Source organism: Homo sapiens, chromosome 17 (genome assembly GCF_000001405.40).
Source record: "Homo sapiens chromosome 17, GRCh38.p14 Primary Assembly".
Classification (NCBI taxonomy): domain Eukaryota; kingdom Metazoa; phylum Chordata; class Mammalia; order Primates; family Hominidae; genus Homo; species Homo sapiens.
This window is the reverse complement of record NC_000017.11, coordinates 43,368,140-43,393,701: the sequence shown is the minus strand read 5'-3', so window position 1 is coordinate 43,393,701 and position 25,562 is coordinate 43,368,140. Positions and strand designations below refer to the sequence as shown.

Sequence of the window (25,562 nt, the reverse complement as noted above, 5' to 3'; positions counted from 1 at the left end):
GTAGCTGGGACTTACAGGCTCCCACCACAATACCCAGCTAATTTTTTTTTTTTTTGAGGTGGAGTCTTGCTCTTTCGCCCAGGCTGGAGGGCATGATCTTGGCTCACTGCAACCTCCACATCCCGGGTTCAAGCGATTCTCCTGCCTCAGCCTCCCGAGTAGCTGGGATTACAGGCGTGTGCCACCATGCCCGGCTAATTTTGGTATTTTTAGTAGAGACGGGGTTTCACCACGTTGCTCAGGCTGGTCTCAAACTTGGCTCAAGCAATCTACCTGCCTCGGCCTCTCAAAGTGCTGGGATTACAGGCAAGAGCCACCGTGCTCGGCCTTGGGAAGGTTTTCAAGAGTTCAGTTGCAGCCATGGTGTAATGTCTGCAGGCTATCCATGTGGGGACAAATGTCCAGAGTCCATTTGCTCAGGAGCCTGGAGCTCAGGGGAGGCCTTAGTTGGAGGAGTGGCCTTGGGTGGTCAGTGAGAAAAGAGTCCTGAGATGGGTGGAATTCCCCAGGGAGCAATGGGGTGAGAGGAGGAAAGTGGTTCCATAACACTGTCATGAGCATCTCCACATTCAAGGCAGGGAAATGAAGTGAAAGATGGAGAAGCAGCATCTGGAGAGGTAGAAGGAAAACCATAGGACTTTAAAAGGCCACAAAGCTGCAAGTGCCTGAAGCCAAGGAAAGTAAGAACTTGAGGAAGTAAAAGGGAGTGGCCCTCAGCATCCAAGGACTGAGAGGCCAGAGGGAATTCGGACAGCCTGGGGATGGGGGTTCCCAAGAAGAATGTCTAGGGGTGGCTAGAGAAGGGGGCTGGAGATTTGGAGGAGAGTTATCTCAACAGAGGTGACAGTGCCAAGAAGGGTTCTCTCCAGAAAACGTAGAGTTGAACAAGGACTAAGCTGGCATTGGAGAACTTGCAGGAGACCAAGGGAGCCATCAGGAAAGCAACAGCAGATGGAGGTCACGTCCTTCTGTGACCTTGCAGACAGGCAGTCATAGACCACCCAGGATTAGCCCTTATTGGACACAAAAGGAAACTCACAGGCTCTTAGATATGGGTAAAAGGAGAATACCCCAGTCTCAGCAAGAATGTCAGTCTCAAAGCCAGATTTCATGGCCTGGGTGCCAGGACTTCCTGAGGAGCAGAATGAGGGCCTTGATGGTCGAAAGAGGTGTTATGGGCTCTTGGGACTTGGTGTGCGAAAGGCAATAAGCCTATAGTTCGTGGGGTGGGGGGGCTCCTCTGCCTCCCTGTGGGCTCCGGAGACCACCGAAGACCAGCTGCATCCCCCTGACTGCATCCTTTCAGCATGTGCCACCCTTGGGGAAAGCCACCTGTGAACTATATCAGGATGGTTGTTCTCATTTCCCCCAAAATTTGGAGCCCACTCTGAGGTCTGGCACAGCTCAGAGCTCTAGGGTAACCAACTCTCCCTGATCACCTGGAACTTTGCCAGTTTTAGTTCTCAAAGTCCCATATTCCAGGAAACCCCTAATCCCCTAGCAAACTGGATGGCTGGTTACTCCACTGGGAGCTCAGACCTCCTACTTGACTAGTGAGTTTTGAGGTCACAGGGACCATCCTAAGTTGTGGGACAGAGGGCCTCTGGACTCCTGCAAGAGTCTGCACTCTCCTACCTCTGTCCTGTGCCTGAGGAGTGTGATCATGAAATAGAAAGTGAAAAACATGGTGACAAGTGGAGAGAGAGGGAAGAAGAAAGAAAAAAGCTTCATATTTTACTACATTTTTTCCTTTTAATAGTGATGGTGTCTCACTATGTTGCTCAGGCTGGTCTCAACCTCCTGGGCTCAAGTGATGCTCCCGCCTCAGCCTGCCTAAGTAGCTAAGACCACAGATGCACACCACCATGCCTGGCTAATTTTTATTTATTATTACTATTTATTTTATTTATTTATTTATTTATTTTATTTTTGAGATGGAGTCTCGCTCTGTCACCCAGGCTGGAGTGCAATGGTACCACCTCGGCTCCCTGCAACCTCCACCTCCCAGGTTCAAGCGATTCTCCTGCCTCAGCCTCCCAAGCAGCTGGGACTACAGGCACGCACCACCACGCCCAGCTAATTTCTGTATTTTTAGTAGAGACAGGGTTTCACCATGTTGACCAGGATGGTCTCGATCTCTTGACTTCGTGATCCGCCCACCTCGGCCTCGGCTTCCCAAAGTGCTGGGATTACAGGCGTGAGCCACAGTGCCCAGCCTATTTTTTTTTTTTTTTTTTTTGAGACAGTTTTGCTCTTGTTGCCCAGGCTGGAGTGCAATGGCACCATCTCGCCTCACCACAACCTCCGCCTCCTTGGGTCAAGCAATTCTCCTGCCTCGGCCTCCCCAGTAGCTGGGATTACAGGCATGCGCCACCACACTTGGCTAATTTTGTATTTTTAGTAGAGATGGGGTTTCTCCACGTTGGTCAGGCTGGTCTCGAACTCCCGACCTCAGGTGCTCCGCCCACCTCAGCCTCCCAAAGTGCTGGGATTACAGGCATGAGCCACCATGCCCGGCCTATTATTAGTATTTTGTAGAGACAGGGTATCCCTGTGTTGTTCAGGCTGGTCTTGAATTGCTGGGCTCAAGTGATCTTCCCACCTTGCCCTCCCAAAGTGTTGGGATTACAGGCATGAGCCACCACCCCTGGTGTCCTCTATACTTTTTTTTTTGGTCTTTTTTTTTACAATTTTTATTTTTATTTTTAAAAATTATTTGTAGAGACGAGGTCTTGCTATATTGCCCAGGCTGGTCTCAAACTCTTGGGCTCAAGCAATCTGCCCACCTTGGCCTCCCAAAGTGCTGGAATTACAGGCATGAACCACCGTGCTTGGCCCTCATATACTTTTTTTTTTTTTTGAGACAGAGTCGCACTCTGTCACCCAGGCTGGAGGGCAGTGGCATGGTCTTGGCTCACTGCAACCTCCACCTCCGAGTTCAAGCGATTCTCCCGCCTCAGCCCCCTGAGTAGCTGGAACTACGAGTGCGTGCCATCACACCCAGCTAATTTTATTTTTAGTAGAGATGGGGTTTCACTACATTGGCCAGGCTGGTCTCTGACTCCTGACGTCGTAATCTGCCCTCCTCGGCCTTCCAAAGTGCTGGGATTACAGGCGTGAGCCACCGCGCCTGGCCTTGGCCCTTATATACTTTTATAGTTCCATTTTTTTCACTTTGAAATCTTTGGCCCACTTGGCATTTATCTTGGTGTATGGTGAGTGAACCGTGATTGTAACACTGCACTCCAGCCTGGACAACAGAGGGAAACCTTGTCTCAAAATATAGATAGATATGGCCAGGCGCGGTGGATCATGCCTGTAATCCCAGCACTTTGGGAGGCCGAGGCACGCGGATCACGAGGTTAGGAGATGGAGACCATCCTGGCTAACACGGTGAAACCCCGTCTCTACTAAAAATACAAAAAATCAGTCCGGTGTGGTGGCACGCACCTGTAGTCCCAGCTACTTGGGAGGCTGACGCAGGAGAGTCGCTTAAACACGGGAGGCGGAGGTTGCAGTGAGCTGAGATAGCGCCACTGCACTCCAGCCCGGGCGACAGTGCGAGACTCCGTCTCAGAAAAAAGAACAGATAGATAGATAGATAGATAGATAGATAGACAGACAGACAGACAGGCCAGGCGCAGTGGCTCACGCCTATAATCTCAGCACTTTGGGAGGCCGAGGTGGGTGGCTGCCATATTGCACTTCACAGGGTAATAGAATGGAGATGACAATGACTCGGTGGAGACTGGGGTAAAGTGAAATGAGGGAAACACTTGCTGAGAGGTTAAAAAAAAAAATAAGGGGGCACCAAAAGACTCAGCAATCCAGATAAATGGCTTGATTATCTTATAATCGAGATAAGATATATTGCATTGAACTATTATTTATTTTGATTACTGAAGGGTTCTGGAGGATCACCCCCTGAAATTCGAACCTAGAGGAATGACCTCACCCTAATCCTGGCCGTGGCTAATAATAACGCCCATCTCTTAGGGCTGTCGAGTGAACTAAAAGAGATAATGCACGTAGAGCCCTCGGACCCGAGGCTGGCATTGGGAAAGGCACAGTTTATATTTTTTGACCTGGTTGTTCACCAGGCAATCCCTGCCATCCGGCTTTCCATCCTGCAGGGGGAGCATGACTGACTGAGTGTCACTATCGGATCTATGATACCTTCTTGCTTTTCTGAAATCAAATAAAAGAGCCATAAACTCTCATCTCAACTGTTGTGTTAGGAAGGAGGACGGGAATGGTAAATGCTGACGCTACAGGCGGCAGTCTGTGCCTCAGAGAGAAAATTTATCCCAACCTTGCTGGGGGCCTTGACGCCCATCTTCCTCCAGAGCACCCCGACAGTCACCCCGCCCTCTGGTGTCCTCCCACCCCGAGCCCGATCTTCCCCCTTCACGCCTGCCCCGGGCCAATAGCCTCCTAACTGCGTCCTCTCTGATTGCGTGTGTCGTGCTCATTACGCCCTATCCGTCGTTTCTTCGCTCCACAAACGTTTACTGAGCGCCTTCAACTTGCCAGGCACTAATTAGACTAGCGCAGAGAAACGGGGATAAGTACTGATGAGGGTCCCAGCCCTCAGCGATCGGATTTCAGAGGGGGAGATAAAGGACTGCCCAGAAGGGTGGTGAGTGGAGTAGTTGATATAAACAACGAGGTGCGATGAAATACACAGGAGGGCTGCTAATCACATATGGGGTGGGTGCCGAGGGCCCTTAATTAAGGGAGGCTTCCTGGACGGGTGACACCCAAGCGGAGTCCTGACGACCCGCGTCAGAAGTAGTCAGGCGAGGAGGAGGGTAAAGGAATCCACGTCCCAAGCAGAGAAGCAGCTTTCCCTACACAGCACAGGACACGGTCCGCGCACAGAAGCCGCAGGAGACGCAGGCACAGGGGCTGGGGAGAATCCTTGCTGGGCCCTCGCCGTCCATGCGCCGCCTCCCTCTGCCCGGTGTCTGGTGTCAGCCTCCTGCCTGGCAGAGGAACTCCAGCCCCTGCTCCCCGAAGCTCCTCCAGGCCTTCTGCTTCCCTGACTCGGAATGGGCCCGCTGTCCAGTGGGTACAAGGCTGGTCTCCCCGCCCACTGGTGACGACGTAAAGATCCAGCTCAGCCTGGTTTCCCCTGGTGATGATATCTTGCGACTCGTCTTTCTCCAGGAAAACAGGGACCGCTCTCCGCCTACAGGTCTCTTCCACAGACCTATCTTGTTTTCACCCCCTGTCTCTTTTGGTTCAGTCTTTTCGCTCATACAAACAAGGAAGTCGCCCCTAGCCCAGCCGCGGCTCCTTAGCTGGAGGCGGGCCCGGGGGTGGAGTCAACCGCGGTGGCCACGCCTCCTGGGAAAGGGCAGGGCATGCAAATTCGAAATGAAAGCCCGGAAACCCCGGAACTAGAACTGGTGTAAGATTTCTCTTGGTTTTTGTGTTGTTGTTGTTGTTTTGTTGTTGTTTTGAGACAGAGTCTCGCTCTGTCGCCCAAGCTGGAGTGCAGTGGCGCGATCTCGGTTCACTGCAACCTCCGCCTCCCGGGTTCAAGTGATTCTACTGCCCAGCCTCCCTAGTAGCTGGGATTACAGGCGCGCGACACCACGCCTGACTAATTTTTGTTTTTTTGTTTTTGTTTTTTTTTTAGATGGAGTCTCACTCTGTCGCCCAGGCTGGAGTGTAGTAGCGCAATCTTGGCTCACTGCAACCTCGGACTCCCAGGTTCAAGAGATTCTCCTGCATCAGCCTCCCAAGTAGCTGGGACTACAGGCACGTGCCACCACGCCCGGCTAATTTTTGTATTTTTAATAGAGACGGGGTTTCTCCGTGTTATCCAGAATGGTCTCGATCTCCTGACCTCGTGATCCACCTGCCTCGGCCTCCTAAAGTGCTGGGATTACAGGCGTGAGTCACCGCGCCCGGCACGCCCGGCTAATTTTTTTGTATTTTTAGTAGAGATGGGGTTTCACCGTGTTCCCCAGGCTGGTCTCGAGCTCCTGAGTCGAGACGGGATTTCTCCGTGTTTGCCAGAATGGTCTTGATCTCCTGACCTTGTGATCCACCCGCCTCGGCCTCCCAAAGTGTTAGGATTACTGGCGTGAGCCACTGCGCCCGGCAGATTTTTCTTTTAAAACGTGGAGAATAAGAAATCAGCCCGAGTGTGTAATGGCGTCAATATTGGTGTGGACAAGACAAAGTGAATGAGGCAAGGAGCGAGGCTGGGGCTCTCACCGCGTCTTGAATGTAGATGAGAGTGGGACGGTGATGGCAGGGAGGAAGGCGACGACATCTCTTCTCGTCCTTTTGGCTAAGATCAAGTGTAGTATCTGTTCTTATCAGTTTAATATCTGATACGTCCTCTATCAGAGAACAATTATATTAGATAGATTTTTGGAGCAGGGAGATGAAATAGGAGCTTGCTCTGTCCACTCCACGCGTCGACCTGGTATTGCAGTACCTCCAGGAATGGGGCTCCCTCTCCTGGGATACAACCTGTTTGCAAGGTTAGAAAGAAAAGACTGCGCCGGGTAGTTTAGGATAGTTGGTAGGTTTTCTTACTCCTTTAAGTATCATAAGGTTCATGATTTATGGAGAGTATCCTAGGACCCAAAACAAGAATATTCATTTCCAAGTAGGGAACATGTTCGACTTTACTTGGAGGGCTTTAAATCTCAGCTTGGCTGTGGAGGGGTGATGACCTTTCAAAGGGATGGATTCCAGTGGTGTGTTGCCCAGGCTGGACTTCAACTTACTCTGTTTGTTTGTTTGTTTTTTGTTTTTGAGATGGAGTTTAGCTCTTGGTACCCAGGCTGGAGTGCAACGGCACCATCTCGGCTCACTGCAACCTCTGCCTCCCGAGTTCAGGCAATGCTCCTGCCTCAGCCTCCCGAGTATCTGGGATTACAGGCACCCGCCACCATGCCCAGCTAATTTTTGTATTTTTAGTAGAAACGGGGTTTCACCATGTTGACCAGGCTGGTCTCGAACTCCTGACCTCAGGTGATCCACCTGCCTGGGCCTCCCAGATTGCTGGGATTACAGGTGTGAGCCACTACGCCCAGCTGAACTTCCTCTTCAGCCCATGGAGTAGTTCTACTTTAAGGCAGGCACCAATGTACTGGCTACAAACTTCCTTTTTTCCCCAGGAAAAATCGAGGCACAGGTAGTTTAAGTTACCGAGGAATGCACAGGAGCAGAACTCGAGTCCAAGCATCGTGGCTCCACCCTTCATGCTTGATGCTTTTTTAGGCTCTGTTCTAGGTATGTGTATCCTTTACGGGATCAGCCACCGGCAGTTGCCTTGCAACCATGATGACAAATCTCTCCCAGCTTTTTTGGGTCTCATCCCTGTATCTATAAATTGCATCCCAGCATAAAGATCAGAATGTGTCTTTTGCTGACCCAATCTCTCACCCTTTCCAAACTCCAGAAATCTTGTCTGGCCTTGGCAAAACTACCCGCTGCTTCTTTCTCTAAAGGATATCTTCAGTCCGGGCACTGTGGCTCATGCCTGTAATCCCAGCACTTTGGGAGGCCCAGGTGGGAGGATGGCTTGAGCCCAGGAGGCCACAGTGAGGTGAGATCACGCCATTACACTCCAGCCTAGGCGGCAAAGCCAGAGCCCCATCTCGAAACAAACGAACGAACAAACAAAGCACAAAAGAAACAGCCTAGGCAAGGTAGTGAAGCCCTGTTCAGGGTGACGAATATCTGTACAACAGCTATTTCAGAGGCTGAGGCAGGAGGATCAGTTGAGTCTGGGAGGTGGATGCTCCAGTGAGCCGTGATTGCACCACTGCACTCCAGCCTTGGTGACAGAGCCAGACCCTGTCTCAAATAAATAAAAATTAAAATTAAAGGAAAGAAAGCGTGGAAGCAGAAGTGGGTCCCATTGAACTTCAAGCCTTCAAGCTACAGCTGTGGCTGGACAGGTTGAACTAGCAGGCAGGAGCAGTCACCATCTTGGCAGGGATTAATGGCCCTGAACCATCATCAGGAAGAGGGAGTAGTGCTCTTATGCAGGGAGGGCAGGTGGAATATATGTGAACTCTGGTGATCTGTTTGGGTGCCACGTGTTACTCCCAGGTCCACCTGTGACATGAATGGACAAGTGCAGGAACCCTGACTTGAGAAAGATGTGGCCTTGAGGGGTTTAGACTTTTCAGGAATGAGAGTTTGGGTCACGGTAGCCAGGGAAACCACCAGGATTAACAGAGTTGATAGCTGAGAAGGAGGGGGGATTTGGAGGGGAGAGGACAGGAGGCACTGGTTGAGTACCAGGGGCAGCCTTGTGACCAAATGCACCAAGAGGGGCTGTCGTTTGACTCACTAACTTTCTGTAGCTCTATGCAGTACAAAAGAGCAGGAGATGAAAGAATGGCAAGTAGATTGGGAGCCGGAAAATAACTGGAATGAACCCACACATTCCTGATTGACATTGACAGTAATATACAGGTACAGGCAGGCAGAGGCGTTTTCTCTTCAACTGATTTTGAAATCATTCTCTCTGTTAGAGTACACAGCTATCTGAAGGTACACAGTGACCATCAACATTTACCAAGCTTTGGGCAAATGTTAAGTGTCATTGTTGTTGGTTTAATTTGATATTGTTCTCTATTGAATAATGTGCACAACAAATTTCTGGATTTTTATTAAAAGAGCATCTCCTGTGCTACATGCAAATATACAATCTGAGAAATTCTGACCCTGGCTATTAAAGTATAAAAAGGTTTCCTTGTCTCAGAACAATGTTAGAACAGACATCAACTCACTGCTTCTAGAAGAGCAGCCACTCCTTGATTTCACAAACTCAATAAACAGTCTCAGTTGTTGTTTAGTATCATTAGGAACTATTTTGACAGAGGTTTCTAGATCATGTCACAATGACATCAGATATCAAAGAAATGTGTAACAGGTTTGGTTATATGCAATGGCTACCCTCAACCCCCCAAGTTCCTGTCCAGTCAAATTCCCTCTGACCTGCTGTCTGCATCTGCCTCTCCAGAAACAGGGCAGACACAGGATTGTCAAACGTGCTTGCTTCCATGCTCTCTCCCTAATGGTGACATGGACTCTGTTCTCAATAAGCACCTCCCACCCCGCCCAAAGGTCCCTATCACCTCTCCCTGGCTCTGGGTCCACTTCTCTGTACCTTGGACATGGGCATAACATGTTGCCCATGAGGCACAGGATGAGTAGCAGGGGCAGCCCTGTGACCAGCTGCAGCAAGAGGGAGTGCTGTTTGGCTCACGACCCTTATGCAGCTCTATGCAGTACAAAAGAGCAGGGGAGAGAAGAATGGCAAGTGGAAGGGGAGGCAGAAAATAACCAGAACAAATGCACATATATGATCGTGGCCTTGGGTTTTCATTTCCTTGTGAGGGCTCCCGTGTCATGTAAAACTTACATTGACAGCTTTTATGATAGCTTTCCTCCTGCTAATCTATGTCAGTTTGAGTCTCAGGCCCAGCAAGGACCCTAAGGAGATAAAGTTTTGCCTCCCCTACACAGTCATTGCCCACTCCCACCCTCATCTTGAGTTAACCACTGATCTACTTTATGTCTAGAGTTCCCGTTCCTGGCATTTCATATGAAAGGAATTACACAGTATGTGGTCTTTTGTGTCTGACTGATGTCTTTCTCTGAGCATAATGTTTCTGAGGTTCATCCCCATTGTGACATGTGCCATTATGTTGTACCATTATGTTTTTATTCCTGAATATCACATTTTGTTTATCCGTTCACCCACTGATGGACGTTTGAGTAGTTTTCAGTTCAAAGCTATTCGAATAATTCTGCTCTAAACATTTGCCTCTAAGTCTTTATAAGGACATACGTTGTCATTTCTCTCGGCCTGCCTGCTCATTACACATTGGTGTTCCTGTGATTCTGAAACATGTACTCTTCTCTTACACAAAGTAGTATCTCCGTGTCATCTCTCCCAGTCCATGGCTACTGGGGACCACCTGTATACCTCACCCTGATCATAGAAACAGAAGTCCAGTCTCTCTATGTTTTCAAAGGCCTCCAAGATTTTCAACTCTTTCTCTCTTTCTCTTTCTTTTTCTCTTTTTCTTTTTCTTTCTTTTTTTCTTTCTTTCTCTCTCTCCCTCTCTCTCTCTCTCCCTCTCTCTCTCTCTCTCTCTCTCCCTCTCTCTCTCTTTCTTTTTTTTTTCAAGTCTCGCTCTGTGGCCCGTGGTGGAGGGCAGTGGCATGACCATGGCTCACAACCTCGACCTCCCCAGCTCAAGTGACCCTCCACCTCAGCCTCCTGAGTAGCTGGGACTACAGGAGCATGCCACCATGCCTAGTTTCATATGTGCTTGCTTCCATCCTCTGCCCCTAATGGTGCCACGTACTCTGTTCTCAGTAAGCACCCCTGGCCCATGGGTCTTTAGACTTAGCCTTGCTCACACGGATTTGCCATCTCCCTTCAGGCCTTTCTGCCTCAACTTGCTGATTCTGTATTTTATAACCCCAGAAAGTGTTCTAAGACCCACTCAGCCACCAGCGTAGACATCTGGAGTTATAACTGTATCACTTGTTATCCAAATCCATGTGGTCCCCAAGTTTCAGATATTGGTAGTGAGAATTGAGGTCTCAAAAAACATATTTGCTTCTTCTCTCTCCCTCAGCCTCCCTCCTTCAGTCATCAAGTCCCAGAGCAGAATGCTTCCCAAACTCTGATGTGCATGTGCATTCTGGGGGAACCTTGTTAACATGCAGGTTCTGACGCAATAGGTCTGGAGCCAGTGATTCTGCACTTCTAACCCACCCCCAGATGATATCAATGGTGCTGGTTTGGGGACCACACTGTGAGCAGCAAGACTGTAGCAAGATGCTCCATTTCTACTAAATATCTTTTTTTTAAAGGGGCATATGGGCTTGGCGCAATGGCTCATGCCTGCAATCCCAGCACTTTGGGAGGCCGAGGGGGGAGGATCGCTTGAGGAGGAGTTTGAGACCACCCATGGCAACATAGGTAGACCTCATCTCTACCAAAAAAAAAAAAAAAATTAACAAAAATTAGCCAGGTGGCTGGGCGTGGTGGCTCACACTTGTAATCCCAGAATTTTGGAAGGCCAAGGCAGGTGGATCACTTGAGGTCAGGAGTTCAAGACTAGCCTGGCCAACATGGTGAAACCCTGTCTCTACTAAAAACACAAAAATTACCTGGACACGCACACCTGTAGTGCCAGCTACTTGGGAGGTTGAGGCAAGAGAATCGCTTGAACCCGAGAGGCAGAGGTTGCAGTGAGCTGAGATTGTGTCACTGCACTCCAGCCTGGGTGACAGAGCAAGACTTCGTCTCAAAAAAAATTAGCCAGTTGTGGTGATGCGCGCCTGTGGTCCCAGCTACTTGGGAGGATGAGGCAGGAGGATTGCTTGAGCCTGGGAGGTCAAGGCTGCAGTGAGCCGTGATCTCTTCACTGCATTCCAGCCAGGATGGCAAAGTGAGACTGTGTATCAAAAAAACAAAAAAACAGCCAGGTGCAGTGGCTCATGCCTGTAATCCCAGCACTTTGGGAGGCCGAGGCAGGCAGATCACATGAGGTCGGGAGTTCGAGACCAGCCTGACCAACATGGAGAAACCTCGTCTCTACTAAAAATACAAAATTAGCCAGGCGTGGTGGCACATGCCTGTAATCCCAGCTACTAGGGAGGCTGAGGCAGGAGAATCGCTTGAACTCAGGAGGCGAAGGTTGTGGTGAGCCGAGATCATGCCATTGCACTCCAGCCTGGGGAACAAGAGCGAAATTCCGCCCCCCCCCAAAAAAAAAACAGAAACAAAAAAAGGAGCCATATGGAACACTAACTTTGCTGGCTGCTGCAGCCAAACAATCTCCCTTCCCCCACCAAGGCCACACAGATTGGCACAGTTCTGTTTCTGTTGCTATAAGTGAAAGTTTTTGGTTGGTAACTGTGAAGAGGCCCAGGCGGGAGAGAAAAGAATGGTGGGGCTGGGCAGGGGGCAGGGGTGGTGGAAGGAGTCAGAGAGGAGGCAAAGGAAAATAGGGAAACAAATGGTATCTCTCTCCAAGCAGATCTCTTCAACTACCTGTGAAAACTGATGTGATGAAAAGGGGAATTTGAAGGAGCCATTCCAGAAGACAGGGCGAAAACTGAAGTGCAATCAGGGCCAAGAAAAACAGAAATAGCAGGACCTGGAGTTGCATAGGTTGAATAGTTGAATAGGCTGCTCTCCTCAGCTGGCAGGAAACCTGGCAGCCTCCTGGTGCCCAAGGACTGAAAACCTTAGAAGCACCTGGAGTTGGCAGCCTTGGCATGGTCAGGTTGGCACCTCTGGAGGTGCCCAGGCTTCCCTGGCAGCATTGTGAGCAGTGGATGGTGTTGAAGGGCAGCCAGAGGAGGAATGGAACACATGCTCCTTGCTAACCACACGGACAAGGCCACGTTCACAGGTACACAAAGGTAGGTATACAAAGGTAGGTACACAATCAATCAAAAGTTTAAAAAACAGCCATGATACCAGAAGGCTCTTTTGTTTAAAAGAAAGTTTCAGAAATAGACCTAAGTATATATGAGGCCTTTATTATATGATAAAAGTGGCATCTCAGACTGATGAAAAGGTGGGCTGCTCCATATATGATGCTGAGGCAACTGGTTAGCCATCTTAAAAAAACAAAAGTTGGATGTGTAACTGAAATCATAGACTAGAACAAGTAGGTTAGGGATGCAAATACAAAGGATCAACAATTCAAAAAGGCCAATGGGGAAAGGATCTGAGCAGTCAGCTCATAGAAAAGAAAATAGAAGATCTTAAGCATGCAAAAAGGTACACCCCCTTACTGGTGTAAGAGATTCCACCACTTTTTTTTCTTTTTCTTTTTCTTTTTTGAGACAGAGTCTGGCTGTCACCCAGGCTGGAATGCAATGGCATGATCCCAGCTCACTGTAACCTCTGCCTACTGGACTCAAGTTATCCTCCCACCTCAGCCTCACAAGTAGCTGGGATGACAAGCCTGAACCACCATGCCCAGCTAGTTTTTGTATTTTTTGTAGAGACAGGGTTTTGCCAATGTTGCCCAGGCTGATCTCGAACTTCTGTGCTCAAGTGATCTGCCTGTCTCAGCCTCCCATGTGAGCCATGGCGCCAGGCTGGAGGGCAATGGCAAGATCTCGGCTCACCACAACCTCTGCCCCCCAGGTGTTAGAAACAAGTGTTCAGTGCTGCAAAGAAAAACCACCACTTAAACAAAGAATTTCTCAGCAAGGCACATTTACTTCTGCAGAAGGGTACAGCTTGCGTCTGACTGATCCCAAGAGCACATCAAGCCGGGTAGAGCAGGGGTTTTTATCCCTAACACAGTTTCTGTTTCTGTGTCCTTTCCCCATTTGCTGGAGTTGGACAGCACAGTCTAAGCTGACCCAATTGACTAGTGCTTGAAATTGAATAAGGCCAATTAGGCAGGAAGGGAGAGGCTGTCCATTACCAACTAGGCGGGAAGGGTTGTTTACCAAGTAAGAGGTTTGCTAGTTACCCATTAAACAGAGAAACAAGTGCTCCTTCCTGATTAAGCAGGAAGGGCTGCGTATAGAGCAAGAAAGACCAAGGAAACTTTGAAGAGGAACTTACTGTTTCTGGCAATTTTCCCCCTCCTGACTTTATAGTTCTTCCTCTTCAAATTCCTCTAATATATTTTGGCTTTGTTGCTCCTCTTGGTTTCTAGAAGTAGGAGTTTATCTGAGTAGGGTGGGGGAGAATGGAGAGGGGTTTGGTAAGAGCTGTTTCTATAAGCCTTTGCACAAATCCACAAATGCAAGGTATGACACAACCTACAAGAATGAGTACACTGGTAATAATTGCAAGGGAGGTAAAGATTGAGGTCATGAGTCCCTTCCATTTCCAAACCATTTTTCCATGAGACCAGAGAAGGGGTGTTCAAGCGATTCTCCTGCCTCAGCCTCCCTAGTAGCTGGGATTATAGGCATGCGCCACCACACCTGGCTAATTTTGTATTTTTAGTAGAGACGGGGTTTCTCCATGTTGGTGTCAGGCTGGTCTCGAACTCCCGATCTCAGGTGATCCACCTGCCTCGGCCTCCCAAAGTGCTGGGATTACAGGCATGAGTCATCTGCCCAACTTGCTAAAAGATCTAATCCCAGCTACTCGGGGGGCTGAGGCAGGAGACTACCCCGAACCTTGGAGGTGGAGGTTGCAGTGCGCCAAGATTGTGCCATTGCACTCCAGCACTCTAGCCTTGGCAACAGAGCGAGTCTCCGTTTAAAAAAAATAATAATAATAATTAAAAAAAAATTTTTTTTTTTGGTAGAAACTGGGTCTTGCTCTGTTGCCTAAGCTGCTTAACCTCCATCTCAAGGTTTCCTTCTGTAGGTAACCTTTGCGAGTTTGTAATGACGAGAGCACTTAGCACACAGCCTAGGCCAAACAGTAAATGCTTCCTATTGTATTGTCCGCAGGCAACGCAGTTGCTCAGGTGCTTCGGTATCACAGCCAAGACCCCTTCGGGGGAAGCTAGTCGGATACTGGGACCCACATTCCAGACTACTGAGCCGCGGTCGCGCCCTCGGCTCCGTTTCTGCTCCCTCCACCCCACGAGGTAGGCAGTGGTGTTTCCACTTCCCAGCTGGGGAAACTGAGAGTCCGAAGGTTAAGTAGTTTGTCCCCAGTCCCCACTGACAGGGCAGGGAGAGGGGCGGGGCTGTGACTCCCAGGGCGGCAGCCCCCTCAGGGCGCGATCTCGCAGTCGCAGTCGGACTTCTCTCTGCGGCCCCGGGAAGTCCCCCCCCAGTGGGGGAGAGGGGGCTCATGGGCTCCGCTTTCGCCTCCGACCCAGCCAGACCGCTGAAGCTCCGCTCTTCACAGTAATGGCTTTCCTCAAAAGAGCTCGGACCACTCTCCTCCAACTTCCTTCCGCAGACACCTCGTGACGCCCACGCCCATTTCGCTTGGTCACTGTCTTGACCCCGGGTGGGTCCATCAGCTCATTGTAAATTAATTTTTGTATTTTTAGTAGAGACAGTGTTTCACCATGTTGGCCAGGCTGGCCTAGAACTCCTGTCCTCAGGTGATCCGCCCTCCTTGGCTTCCCAAAGTGGACAAGGACAGCAGCTCTTTTTGAAAGGAGATACAGGCCGGGTGCGGTGGCTCACGCCTGTAATCCCAGCACCTTGGGAGGCTGAAGCAGGTGGATCACCTGAGGTCAGGAGTTTGAGACCAGCCTGACCAAAATGGAGAAACCCTGTCTCTACTAAAAATACAAAATTAGCCAGGCGTGGTGGCACATGCCTGTAATCCCAGCTACTCAGGAGGCTGAGGCAGGAGAATCGCTTGAACTCAGGAGGCAGAGGTTGCGGTGAGCTGAGATCGCGCCATTGCACTCCAGCCTGGGCAACGAGAGTGAAACTCTGTCTCAAAAAAATAAAATAAAATAAAATAAAACAGAAAGAAAGAAAGGAGATACAGTATGCCCCATGAGATGCTGAAAGGGACTCACCTCTTTTGAAATTAACCTAAGCATTTAAAGCCGTGGCTCTGTTTGAAATGGAATGATTAGGAGAAAATGCATTCTTGAAGAAATAGACAGCAGTGCCGGCCAAATAAATGCTGTATGTGGAATGGACTGGGAGAAGGCCATGTCCATCTTGATGTGAGGACTTTTAATGCCTTGATCGTACTTGCCTGTATTATTCTATGTTGTCAACGTGTCCTCTAATACCAGGTCCTCCATGATAAGTTGCTCCCGATCCAGAAGTATTGCCCCAGCTGCAAAGAGCCCTGATTCTCAAATGTGGTCGTGATCATGGTTACTGATTGGTCCATAACAAGAAAGTTAAAAAAAAAAAAAAAAAAAAAAAGACATTGTCAGACTCTTTATTCTATTTGCTGAAGTGGCCTTCTTTTTATAGGACGGGGGTGGAAGGCCACCTTCGATGGGTGCATCCTCCACGATGACCTGCTAACAAAGGTGCATGGATTTCAGAGTCTGATTGGCCTACAACAGCATTTGGCTTGTGGAGACAGTGGTTCCCTGATGAAAAACTGCCATGATGTAAGGAAGAGCCTGTCAGAGCGAGGCTGGGGTGCTGCGTGTTGGGGAGGTGGAGGTGTGGCTTCCCGGGAGAAGCTCCACCCGCTGGCTGAGTCTGGCACATAAACCAGTCTGTGAGGGGATGGATGTGGGTGTAATGGGGGCAATTACAGTAGGAAGGAGCCCACGTGGAGCCTGCATTCTCTGGGACAGGGCATTACTGCATTCTCTGGGACAGGCTAAGGCCCAGATCCTACCTTCCCAGGTGGCTGGATGGGTCATAGATGTATGAACCGGTCCCCTCATTTTCTGATTGCCCTGTGCTTAACGTTTCTGTACCTTTACTGAGGCTCTTTCCTCCAACTCCAGTGCCCAGACCCCCCTTCTCCTGAACATGAATGCCTGTCCATGGAAATTCGAGTCTCTCTCTCTCACCCAGGCTGGAGTGCAGTGATGCAATCTCAACTCACTGCAACCTCTGCCTCCCAGGTTCAAGTGATTCTTGTGCCTCAGCCTCTGGAGTATCTAGGATCACAGGTGCGTGCCACCATGTCTGGCTAATGTTTTGTATTTATAGTAGAGATGGGTTTCGACATATTGGCCAGGCTGGTCTTGATCTCCTGGCCTCAAAGTGATCTACCCACCTGGGCCTCCCAAATTGCTGGGATTACAGTTGTGAGCCACCACACCCAGCCTGTCCCTGAAATTCTAATGAAATGTGCGATAAAGTTGTTTTGTTTTTCTTTTTGTTTTCCCTTCTTGGCAAAGCCTGGTGTTTCTATTTTAGTGGATTTGCCTGGCACTGAGGACTGCTATGGTGGTCTTCAGAGGCTCCTGGTATTGACTGCTTGTGAAACCGCTTTTGCAAAATTATGACTGAGACAGTGAAAGAGATCTAACTTAACCGACCCAATCTTGCTTCTAACCTCCAAATTGTCCTTATTCATTCCTGAGCATAGCCTGAACTAACTTTGGGAGAAGCTTAGTTTATATTTTATTTTATAGTTTAAAACAAAGATGTTAACAGCCCTTTCCCAAGGCAGACTTCCTTCTTGCCTGGGGACTAGGTTGCCTTTGGAGGACTAACATTAGCCACGAGATTAGAAATTATGGGCTGGGCCTCGTGGCTCACCCCTGTAATCCCAGCACTTTGGGAGGCCACGGCAGGTAGATCACCTGAGGTCAGGAGTTCAAGACCAGCCTGGCCAACGTGGTGAAACCCCATCTCTACTAAAGAATACAAAAATTAGCCGGTTATGGTGGCACATGCCTATACTGCCAGCTACTTGGGAAGCTGAGGTGGGAGGATCGCTTGAACCTGGGAGGCGGCGTGGAGGTTGCAGTGAGCCAGGATCTTGCCACTGCACTCCAGCTTGGGCGACAGAGTGAGACTCTGTCTCAAAAAAAAAAAGTTTAGAAATTATGCTTTAGGAGTCATGCAGCTGGAGGCTACAAGATTCTGACCCTCCCTAAACTGCTCCTAAGATCAGTGCTTGAGATATTTTGCAGACCCTGCACTTGATGGATCAGCTGGCACCACCCAGACTGATTAACTGGCTCATGTGATCTTGTGGTCCCCACCCAGGAACTTAATCAGCACAAGGAGACAGCTTCAACTCCCTATGATTTCATCCCTGACCAATCAGCACTCCTGGGCTCACTGGCTTCCCCCTACCCACCAAGTTGTCCTTAAAAAGTCTGCTCCCCAAATGCTCGGGTAGACTGATTTGGGTAATAATAAAACTCCGGTCTCCCACACAGCCAGCCCTGCGTGAATTACTCTTTCTTTTTTGAGATGGAGTTTCACTTTCGTTGCCCAGGCTGGAGTGCAATGGCAGGATCTTGGCTCACAGCATCCTCCGCCTCTCAGGTTCAAGCGATTCTCCTGCCTCAGCCTCCCCAATAGCTGGGATTATAGGCACGTGCCACCACGCCCGGCTAATTTTTGGTATTTTTAGTACAGACAGGGTTTCACTGTGTTGGCCAGGTTGGTCTCAAACTCCTGACCTTAGGTGATTCACCTGCCTTGGCCTCCCAAAGTGCTGGGATTACAGGTGTGAGCCACTGCACCCAGCCAAATTACTCTTTCTCTATTGCAATTCCCCTGTTCTGATGAATCAGCTCTGTTTAGGCAGCAGGCAAGGAGAACCCCCTGGGCATTATACTTGGACAGAGGTGACATCCCCCAGGTAGTGAGTGCAAAGAACTAATGCTGCAGCTGTCTTCCATGTATCTGCCACTCACTGTAGAATGACCCTGAAGTTCTGCATTTCTGCTCTGTGTGGGTCAGGCACAAGAAGCTTCATCTCTTATCCCGTGTCTGATTCCTGAAACCTTGCTCATTTTCCTGCTGTCCTCCCTATTCCCAGCCTCCTTTCTTCTTTCGCTTTATCCTCCACTAAGGACATTGATTGCTTTCCTTTCTCTGTTGGTTCTCCCCACCCCTCATTCCATTGTGCCTTGTACCCATACTGCCCACTACCTCCCTTTATTGCTGTCATCTGTCCTGGTGGCCAGTCACACTCATGCCAACACTTACTTATTCCTTGAAGGTTTTAGCTCCTGGCTCACTTTCCAACATAACTCCTGTCATCAGTTGACACCCAGTTCCCCAGTTCCTTGACCTAGGCCTTACGTACCCCAGCCACTCACTTCCCTGGTCTAAGTCTAGATCTTGTCATTGCTGATGCCATAACGCCATCCACCATCCACTTCCAGGGTCACACTCTCCAATCACCTTCTACCACCCCTCCCTCTGTTACTCTGTGGTACATGTTACTCCACTTCCCCACTGCCCATCCCCTTTCATGTTTCTTTCCTCTTTAATTCTTACACCTCTTTTTTTTTTTTTTTTTTTTTGAGAGAGTCTCAATCTGTCACCCAGGCTGCAGTGCAGTGGCACAATCCTCTCACTGCAACCTCCGCCTCTCAGATTCAAGCGATTCTCCTGCCTCAGCCTCCTGAGTAGCTGGGATTATAGGCATGCACCACCATGCCCGGCTAATTTTTGTATTTTTAGTAGAGACACAGTTTCACTATGTTGGCCAGGCTGGTCTCAAACTCCTGACCTCATGATCCGCCCGCCTCGGCCTCCCAAAGTGCTGGGATTAAGGCATAAGCCACCGTGCCTGGCCTCTTGAAGACTCTTAAGTCATTTTTGGGAATCAATGAATTAACTACAGAAGATTTCCCAGGATGATGAAATAGCAAATCATTTCAAGATGCAGAAGAAGTAAGACCGCTAAGATCCCACAATATGTCTTGGATTTTTGGAAAGAGAAAAGCAGAACCAGAAGTGGGTCTGGGATTCACAGCCAGGCCATACCCCATGTCCTGGCTAATAGGATCGACTGCTGCTACTTTAGCCAATTACGGCTTTGGCCTTCCTCTACTCTTCCCTCCTTCTTGGTGAAATTTGTTAAGATCCTCAATCATAGAATTACCCCCACTTCCTGAGAGCATCCCAGAGAAAGGACTCCTCAAACCACCTAACACATGCCCAAATCCTGTAATAAACCATCCCTGACACCCTCTTACTTATTTGCCCCACAGTTCCCCGTGGCATGCAAAACGTTCTCCCTCAAAGCTAACTCATGTCATGACAGGTGTGTTCCTGGTGGCCTTTGGCTGGATGGTGCTGACAGGTTATAAGAGGGCCTACCAATAGATCTATATGGTCATTGCAAGACATAATGAGTTTTATTCTGTTTAAAAAGGGAAGAAAACGGTAGAGCATGGTGGCTCACGCATGTAATCCCAGCACTTTGAGAGGTAGAGGTGGGCAGATCACTTGATGTCAGGCGTTTGAGGCCAGTCTGGCCAACATGGTGAAATCCTGTCTCTACTGGAAATGTTGCAGGATTCAGGAGGACGAGAGAGACCTCAGGTTGAAACTAGAATCTTTATTGAGTGCACTCAGGCCCAGCTGACTCAACGTCCAAAAGACTGGGCCCGGAACAAAGACAGCATCTGACTTTTATACATACTTCACAGAAGGTGGTGGGCTAGCTTGAAGCAAGCTTACAGTGGTGTGAAAAGCAGCAATACAGAGGCAGGACAAAGACAGGATTGCACATGACTGTTGCCAAGTAACCCAGATGTCCGTTATCTAGGTTTGTCTGGGCATGGGCTTATCCTATAACCTTCACTATGGTGCCCAGGCAGCTGTAGTTCAGGCCTACTCAGGCTTCTCATGACCTTCGTTGTACTTCTTAGATAAAACAGAATATTTGAAGTCACTGGTTACATGTAGGCGGAAACCTACCCAGGTGCTGAGGCAAGAGACTGAGGGCACAACCTGTTCCAATATAGTAAAGAAAATAGTTAGAATAAGAAAAGTTATATTAGAAGTAGGAAATAGAGCTGGATGCAGTGGCTCCCAGCACTTTGGGAGGCCAAGGTGGGCGGATCACGAGGTCAGGAGATTGAGACCATCCTGGCTAACAGGGTGAAACCCTGTCTCTACTAAAAATACAAAAACAAAAAATTAGCTAGGCATGGTGGCAGGCGCCTGTAGTCCCAGCTACTCAGGAGGCTGAGGCGAGAGAATGGTATGAATCCAGGAGGTGGAGCTTGCAGTGAGCTGAGATCACGCCACTGCACTCCAGCCTGGGCGACAGAGTGAAACTCCATGTCAAAAAAAAAAAAAAAAAGAAAAAGAAATAGGATATAGAGATGATTATATATGGATATTATCAATCATTAGTTTTTAGTATTAATCTCTGTATTATTATTATAACCGAGGAAAGACCAGCCAATACAGAGTCAGGAGCTGAAGGGACATTGTGAGAAGTGAGCAGAAGATAAGAGTGAAAGTCCTCTATCACATCCTGATAAAGGCCGCTTGAGGACACCTTGGTCTAGCGGTAGCGCCAGTGCCTGGGAAGGCACCCGTTACTTAGCGGACCGGGAAAGGGAGTTTCCCTTTCCTTGGGGGAAGTTAGAGAACACTCTGCTCCACCAGCTCTAGTGGGAGGTCTGACATTATCCAGCCCTGCTCGCAGTCATCTGGAGGACTAAACCCCTCCCTGTGGTGCTGTGCTTCAGTGGCCACGCTCCTTTCCACTTTCATGTTCTGCCTGTACACCTGGTTCCTCTTTTAAGTTCCTAGAAGATAGCAGTAGCAGAATTAGTGAAAGTATTAAAGTCTTTGATCTCTCTGATAAGTGCATAGAAAAAATGCTGACATATGTGGTCCTCTCTCTGCTTCTGCTACCACAAAGAAGACCCCCATGTGATTTGCTTGACCTTATCAATCACTTGGGATGACTCACTCTCCTTACCCTGCCCCCTTGCCTTGTATACAATAAATAGCAGCACCTTCAGGCATTCGGGGCCACTACTGGACTCCGTGCATTGATGGTAGTGGCCCCCTGGGCCCAGCTGTCTTTCCTACTATCTCTTAGTCTCGTGTCATATTTTTCTACCGTCTCTCGTCTCTGCACACGAAGAGAACAACCCGCAAGGCCCAGTAGGGCTGGACCCTACAGTTACAGAGAACAGGAATCTATAAACTCATTCCATAAAACAAAGGAAAATTTGTTTTTCTTCTCCTTATGTTGAGGGATTGCTGAGAGAGTCTCCAGAGCACATTAGATAATATTATCAAGACTTTTCCTGGGTCTGGGCTGTGCCCGTTGCTGCCTCTGGGACAAGTCGGCCTAATACATGAAAATTTATTTCTCTTTCTTTTTAATTTTATTTTTCTTTAATTTCCCACCTTAAAACCACAAAAATTAGCCGGGCATGGTGGTGCATGCCTGTAAACCCAGCCACTTGGGAGGCTGAGGTGGGAGAATCTCTTGAAACCTGGAGGCAGAGGCCGCAGTGAGTCAAGATCGTGCCACTGCATTTCAGCCTGAGCAACAGAGTGAGACTCCATCTCAAAAAAAAAAAAGCGGGGGGGAGGAGAGGGGGGGAAGAAAGAAACTTATTTATTTCATTGGAAGACCTGTAAAAGAACAAAGGTCATGAAATATCAGTATGTACATCTAGAATTGCTCCAAAAAGAAACGGAAATGAATGGGGGCTCGGGGTGGGAAGAAGAATGGATTAGTCAGCTATAACTTTGGGTCCAAGGGACCCTGGTGGTATAGTGGGGGTTAACTTTGCAATCACTGACTCAGGTGAGCCTCTTAGTGTTGAGAAGTGAAATCATCCTGTTTCCCTAATGTATAGATCTTACATTTTCCAGACAGCTGATTCTCACTTTCTTCTTCAACCTCCAAAGAACCTCAGCTGACTACCTTGCTTTCTATGTCCCCAGGGGAATAGAAACAATCAGAGGAAACTTCCGTGAGTTCCCAGGACACATCCACCCACCTCCTCCACGTGTAACCACCACCTCTACCTTCCCCTCTGGTGCTGTGGATGAGCCATCCGTGCTCCTGGCAAAGGCCCACCTGCCACTTGGGCACAGGAACCCATCCATCCCTCCTTACCTCTGGTAACTCTCCCTCTCTCTCTCCTGCATCCTTCATATTCTCTGGGTTGTATTCTCTTCCAGCCCCCACCCCCTGCCCACCTCCAGCATGTAAAAGTGCTGTTATTGTTTCCACTTTAAAACAAACCCTAAAAATAAGTAAATAAAATAAACCCTACCCTGACCCCACTTCACTCTATAGTTACCATCTCATTTCCCTTCTTTTAACAGGAAAACTCCTCCAAACACTTGTCTATATTTGTCCCTGTCATTCTCTCTCTCTCCCCCCTCTCTCTATTTTTTATTTTATTTTATTTTATTTATTTATTTATTTGAGACGGAGTCTCACTCTGTCACCCAGGCTGGAGTGCAGTGGCATAATCTTGGCTCACTGGAACCCCTACCTCTTGTGTTAAAGCAATTCTCCTGCCTCAACCACCTGAGTAGCTGGGATTACAGGCGCCCACCACCTCGCTGGGCTAATTTTTGAATTTGTAATTGAGATGGGGTTTCACCATGGTAGCCAGGCTGGTCTCAAACTCCTGACCTCAAGCGATCTGCCCACCTCCGTCTCTCAAAGTGCTGGGATTAGAGGTGTGAGCCACCACGCCCGGCCTATTTATTTTTTTGAGACAGAGTCTCCCTCTGTTGTCCAAGCTAGAGTGCAGTGATACCATCTCGGCTCACTGCCACCTCTGCCTCCCAGGTTCAAGTGACTCTCCTGCCTCAGCCTCCCTAGTAGCTGGGATTACAGCCATGCACCACCACACCTGGCTAATTTTTGTATTTTTAGTAGAGATGGGGTTTCACCACGTTGGCCAGGGTGGTCTTGAGCTCCTGACCTCAGGTGATCTGCCCACCTCAGCCTCTCAAAGTGCTGGGATTACGGGCATGAGCTGCTGTGCCCAGCCTCAATTATTTTAATCTTTGAATAACTTCGGACTTGCAGAAAAGTTAAAAGACTTACATGGAGAACTTCTCTACCCTCTTCCCCATCCCCGCAAGGTACACAGTTGGTAAAGCGAGAAGTCTGGGGTTCAGTGACACACTTCTTAACTCCCAAGTTCGTGCTCTTTCTTTTCTCTCTCTCTCTCTCTCTGTTGTCTCTCCCTCCCTCCTTCACTCCCTCTCTCTCCCCTTGATGGCCACATTTACTTTATAATTTTCTCTCTCACTCTTTCTCTGTCTCACTCTCTCTTACACAACACACACACTCATAAGAAGACACCTATATACATTTTTTTCCTGAACCATTGGTAAGTAATTTGCACACAGGATGTCCCTTCACCCCCCAGTCCACCAATACTTCGGTGTGTTTCCTAAGAACAAAGGCCTTCTGGAAGTTTCACATTAATTCCATACTGGATCTACAGTCCGAGTTCAGATTTCACCAATTGTCCCAATAAAGTCCTTTAGGTTTTTCTGGCCCAGGATCACTTGTCACTTTTGGTTGTCAGGTCTCTTTAAGTCTCCTTCAGCCTTATGTGTTGTCGACCTTTTTTTTTTGAGACAGAGTCTCACTCTGTTCCCCAGGCTGGAGTGCAGAGTGGTGCTATCTTAGCTCACTGCAACCTCTGCCTCCCGGGTTCAAGAGATTCTCCTGCCTCAGCCTCCCAAGTAGCTGGGATTACAGGCCCCTGCCACCACACCAGAGTAATTTTTGTATTTTTAGTAGAGATAGGGTTTCACCACATTGGTCAGGCTGGTCTTGAACTCCTGACCTCAAATGATCCGCTCGCCTCGGCTTCCCAAAGTGCTGAAATTACAGGCGTGAGCCACTGCGCCTGGCAGACTTTTTTTTTTTTTTGGAGACGTAGTTTCGCTTTTGTCGCCCAGGCTGAATGTGGCAGTCGCTCTGGCCAAACCCTTGGAGTCACCCTCCACTCCTTTCTCTCACCCCTCATCCCAACTGTCCGCAAAGGCCATCAGCTCTGCTTTCAAAGTACACCCAGAATCTGGCCACTCCTCAGCCCCCGCACTGCCCCCATCCTGGCCCAAGCCCTCGCGCTCTCTTTCCTGGGAGTGTGCTATGGTCTCCTCGCCGGTCTTCCGGTTTCTCGGCTCTGGCCCCCTGTGGCTTGTCTGAGCTCTCGCGTTCACAGGGAAGTAGTGGTCGCGCTCACTGGGCTACCGCCCTCCCTCTGCGCGCCCCCTCCGGGGGCAGGGAGCCCACGAGGCCCAGCCCGATCCTACCCCCTCCTGGGTCACCTCCTGGACCCCCGCTCCTCCCGCCCAGCCCCCCGCCCCGTGCCGCCCCAGCCACTCGGTCCTCCGGGCCCACCCCAGGGCGTCGGAACTGGTGGTTCCCTCGGCGGTTCCAGGCCCCTCTCCTCCTTCCCGGGCAGAAGCAGCTTCGCAGCGCCACTCACTGAGCGGAGATTACCAGGGCCCGTTTCCCAAGGCTCCGCCCAGCCCTCGAACCTGTGGGAGCGAGCGCTCCCTCGCCTCAACGAAAACTCGCCGGTCGAGACGGTTGAGAAATGGCTAGAGGGACGGAGACCTAAGTGCCTGTTTCTGTGTGGTCAACTATACAAAATATGTAATTACATGTCTATAACATATAATAAAGTAAGTCCAGACCGGGCACGGTGGCTCACGCCTGTAATCCCAGCACTTTGGGAGGCCAAGGCGGGCGGATCACGAGGTCAGGAGTTCCAGACCAGTCTGGCCAACATAGTGAAACCCAGTCTCTACTAAAAATACAAAAATTTAGCCTAATGTGCTGGTGTACGCCTGTAATCCCAGCTACTCGGGAGGCTGAGGCAGGAGAATTGCGTGAACCCGGGAAGCGGAGGCTGCAAGAGCCGAGATGGCGGCACTGCACTCCAGCCCGGGCAACAGTGCGAGAATCCGTCTTAAATAAATACATAAAGCAAGTCCAGCAAGATGATGTTAGATGGTGGTAATAGGGCCAGCCTGCGGGGAGGACGGAGCTCGGAGCCTGTGGGGCGGGGCATGCAAATATAAAATGGCTGTTTCGCTCAGGAGCTATGGGAACAAAAAGAGAAAGCGAATATCCCCCCCAAATTTGTAACAGTATTACTTATGCAATGTTACAAATTGTAACAAGGAACACTGTGTGAACTTAGGGAAGAGAGTGCTTCTTTACTTGAGGATCATTTTTCTTACCG

The 25,562-nt window shown here is 49.3% G+C and overlaps 3 long non-coding RNA genes and 1 pseudogene across 4 annotated transcripts, besides 10 other annotated features; 2 read left to right on the top strand and 2 right to left on the bottom strand.

Moving 5' to 3' along the window:
* Positions 3,924-4,677: an enhancer, noted in NCBI's record as "H3K27ac-H3K4me1 hESC enhancer chr17:41466393-41467146 (GRCh37/hg19 assembly coordinates)". NCBI's record gives its function as "activates a minimal SCP1, AML or CMV promoter by ChIP-STARR-seq in primed H9 embryonic stem cells {active_cell/tissue: H9 hESC(primed)}" and the evidence as "EXISTENCE:reporter gene assay evidence [ECO:0000049][PMID:30033119]".
* Positions 4,678-5,431: an enhancer, noted in NCBI's record as "H3K27ac-H3K4me1 hESC enhancer chr17:41465639-41466392 (GRCh37/hg19 assembly coordinates)". NCBI's record gives its function as "activates a minimal SCP1, AML or CMV promoter by ChIP-STARR-seq in naive and primed H9 embryonic stem cells {active_cell/tissue: H9 hESC(naive and primed)}" and the evidence as "EXISTENCE:reporter gene assay evidence [ECO:0000049][PMID:30033119]".
* Positions 4,787-5,081: a silencer, noted in NCBI's record as "tiled region #1953; K562 Repressive non-DNase unmatched - State 25:Art". NCBI's record gives its function as "represses a minimal TATA promoter and a strong SV40 promoter by Sharpr-MPRA in K562 cells {active_cell/tissue: K562}" and the evidence as "EXISTENCE:reporter gene assay evidence [ECO:0000049][PMID:27701403]".
* Positions 4,804-23,857, top strand: LINC00910 (long intergenic non-protein coding RNA 910). 2 transcript variants are annotated; one of them, NR_027412.1, is made up of 6 exons: positions 4,804-5,413; positions 12,042-12,429; positions 14,440-14,579; positions 15,889-16,031; positions 22,276-22,455; positions 22,663-23,857. It is a non-coding gene; the product is annotated as a long intergenic non-protein coding RNA 910 (long non-coding RNA). The 2 variants fall into 2 exon arrangements; NR_027413.2 differs by lacking the exons at positions 22,276-22,455; positions 22,663-23,857 and having other exon boundaries at positions 15,889-17,774.
* Positions 4,995-5,224: an enhancer, noted in NCBI's record as "active region_12242". NCBI's record gives its function as "activates an Ori minimal core promoter by ATAC-STARR-seq in GM12878 lymphoblastoid cells {active_cell/tissue: GM12878}" and the evidence as "EXISTENCE:reporter gene assay evidence [ECO:0000049][PMID:35858748]".
* Positions 5,722-6,237: an enhancer, noted in NCBI's record as "NANOG-H3K27ac-H3K4me1 hESC enhancer chr17:41464833-41465348 (GRCh37/hg19 assembly coordinates)". NCBI's record gives its function as "activates a minimal SCP1, AML or CMV promoter by ChIP-STARR-seq in naive and primed H9 embryonic stem cells {active_cell/tissue: H9 hESC(naive and primed)}" and the evidence as "EXISTENCE:reporter gene assay evidence [ECO:0000049][PMID:30033119]".
* Positions 6,238-6,753: an enhancer, noted in NCBI's record as "NANOG-H3K27ac-H3K4me1 hESC enhancer chr17:41464317-41464832 (GRCh37/hg19 assembly coordinates)". NCBI's record gives its function as "activates a minimal SCP1, AML or CMV promoter by ChIP-STARR-seq in naive and primed H9 embryonic stem cells {active_cell/tissue: H9 hESC(naive and primed)}" and the evidence as "EXISTENCE:reporter gene assay evidence [ECO:0000049][PMID:30033119]".
* RNU2-4P (RNA, U2 small nuclear 4, pseudogene) lies at positions 6,285-6,473 on the top strand (annotated as a pseudogene).
* On the bottom strand, positions 12,534-13,952 carry LOC124904007 (uncharacterized). The gene is made up of 2 exons (XR_007065762.1): positions 13,595-13,952; positions 12,534-12,630 (listed from the first exon to the last, which is right to left on the bottom strand). It is a non-coding gene; the product is annotated as an uncharacterized LOC124904007 (long non-coding RNA).
* On the bottom strand, positions 19,893-25,066 carry LOC105371785 (uncharacterized). The gene is made up of 2 exons (XR_007065761.1): positions 24,713-25,066; positions 19,893-21,116 (listed from the first exon to the last, which is right to left on the bottom strand). It is a non-coding gene; the product is annotated as an uncharacterized LOC105371785 (long non-coding RNA).
* Positions 24,515-24,674: a silencer, noted in NCBI's record as "silent region_8555". NCBI's record gives its function as "represses an Ori minimal core promoter by ATAC-STARR-seq in GM12878 lymphoblastoid cells {active_cell/tissue: GM12878}" and the evidence as "EXISTENCE:reporter gene assay evidence [ECO:0000049][PMID:35858748]".
* Positions 24,515-25,407: a biological region, named in NCBI's record as "H3K27ac-H3K4me1 hESC enhancer GRCh37_chr17:41445663-41446502".
* Positions 24,568-25,407: an enhancer, noted in NCBI's record as "H3K27ac-H3K4me1 hESC enhancer chr17:41445663-41446502 (GRCh37/hg19 assembly coordinates)". NCBI's record gives its function as "activates a minimal SCP1, AML or CMV promoter by ChIP-STARR-seq in primed H9 embryonic stem cells {active_cell/tissue: H9 hESC(primed)}" and the evidence as "EXISTENCE:reporter gene assay evidence [ECO:0000049][PMID:30033119]".
* Positions 25,225-25,284: a silencer, noted in NCBI's record as "silent region_8554". NCBI's record gives its function as "represses an Ori minimal core promoter by ATAC-STARR-seq in GM12878 lymphoblastoid cells {active_cell/tissue: GM12878}" and the evidence as "EXISTENCE:reporter gene assay evidence [ECO:0000049][PMID:35858748]".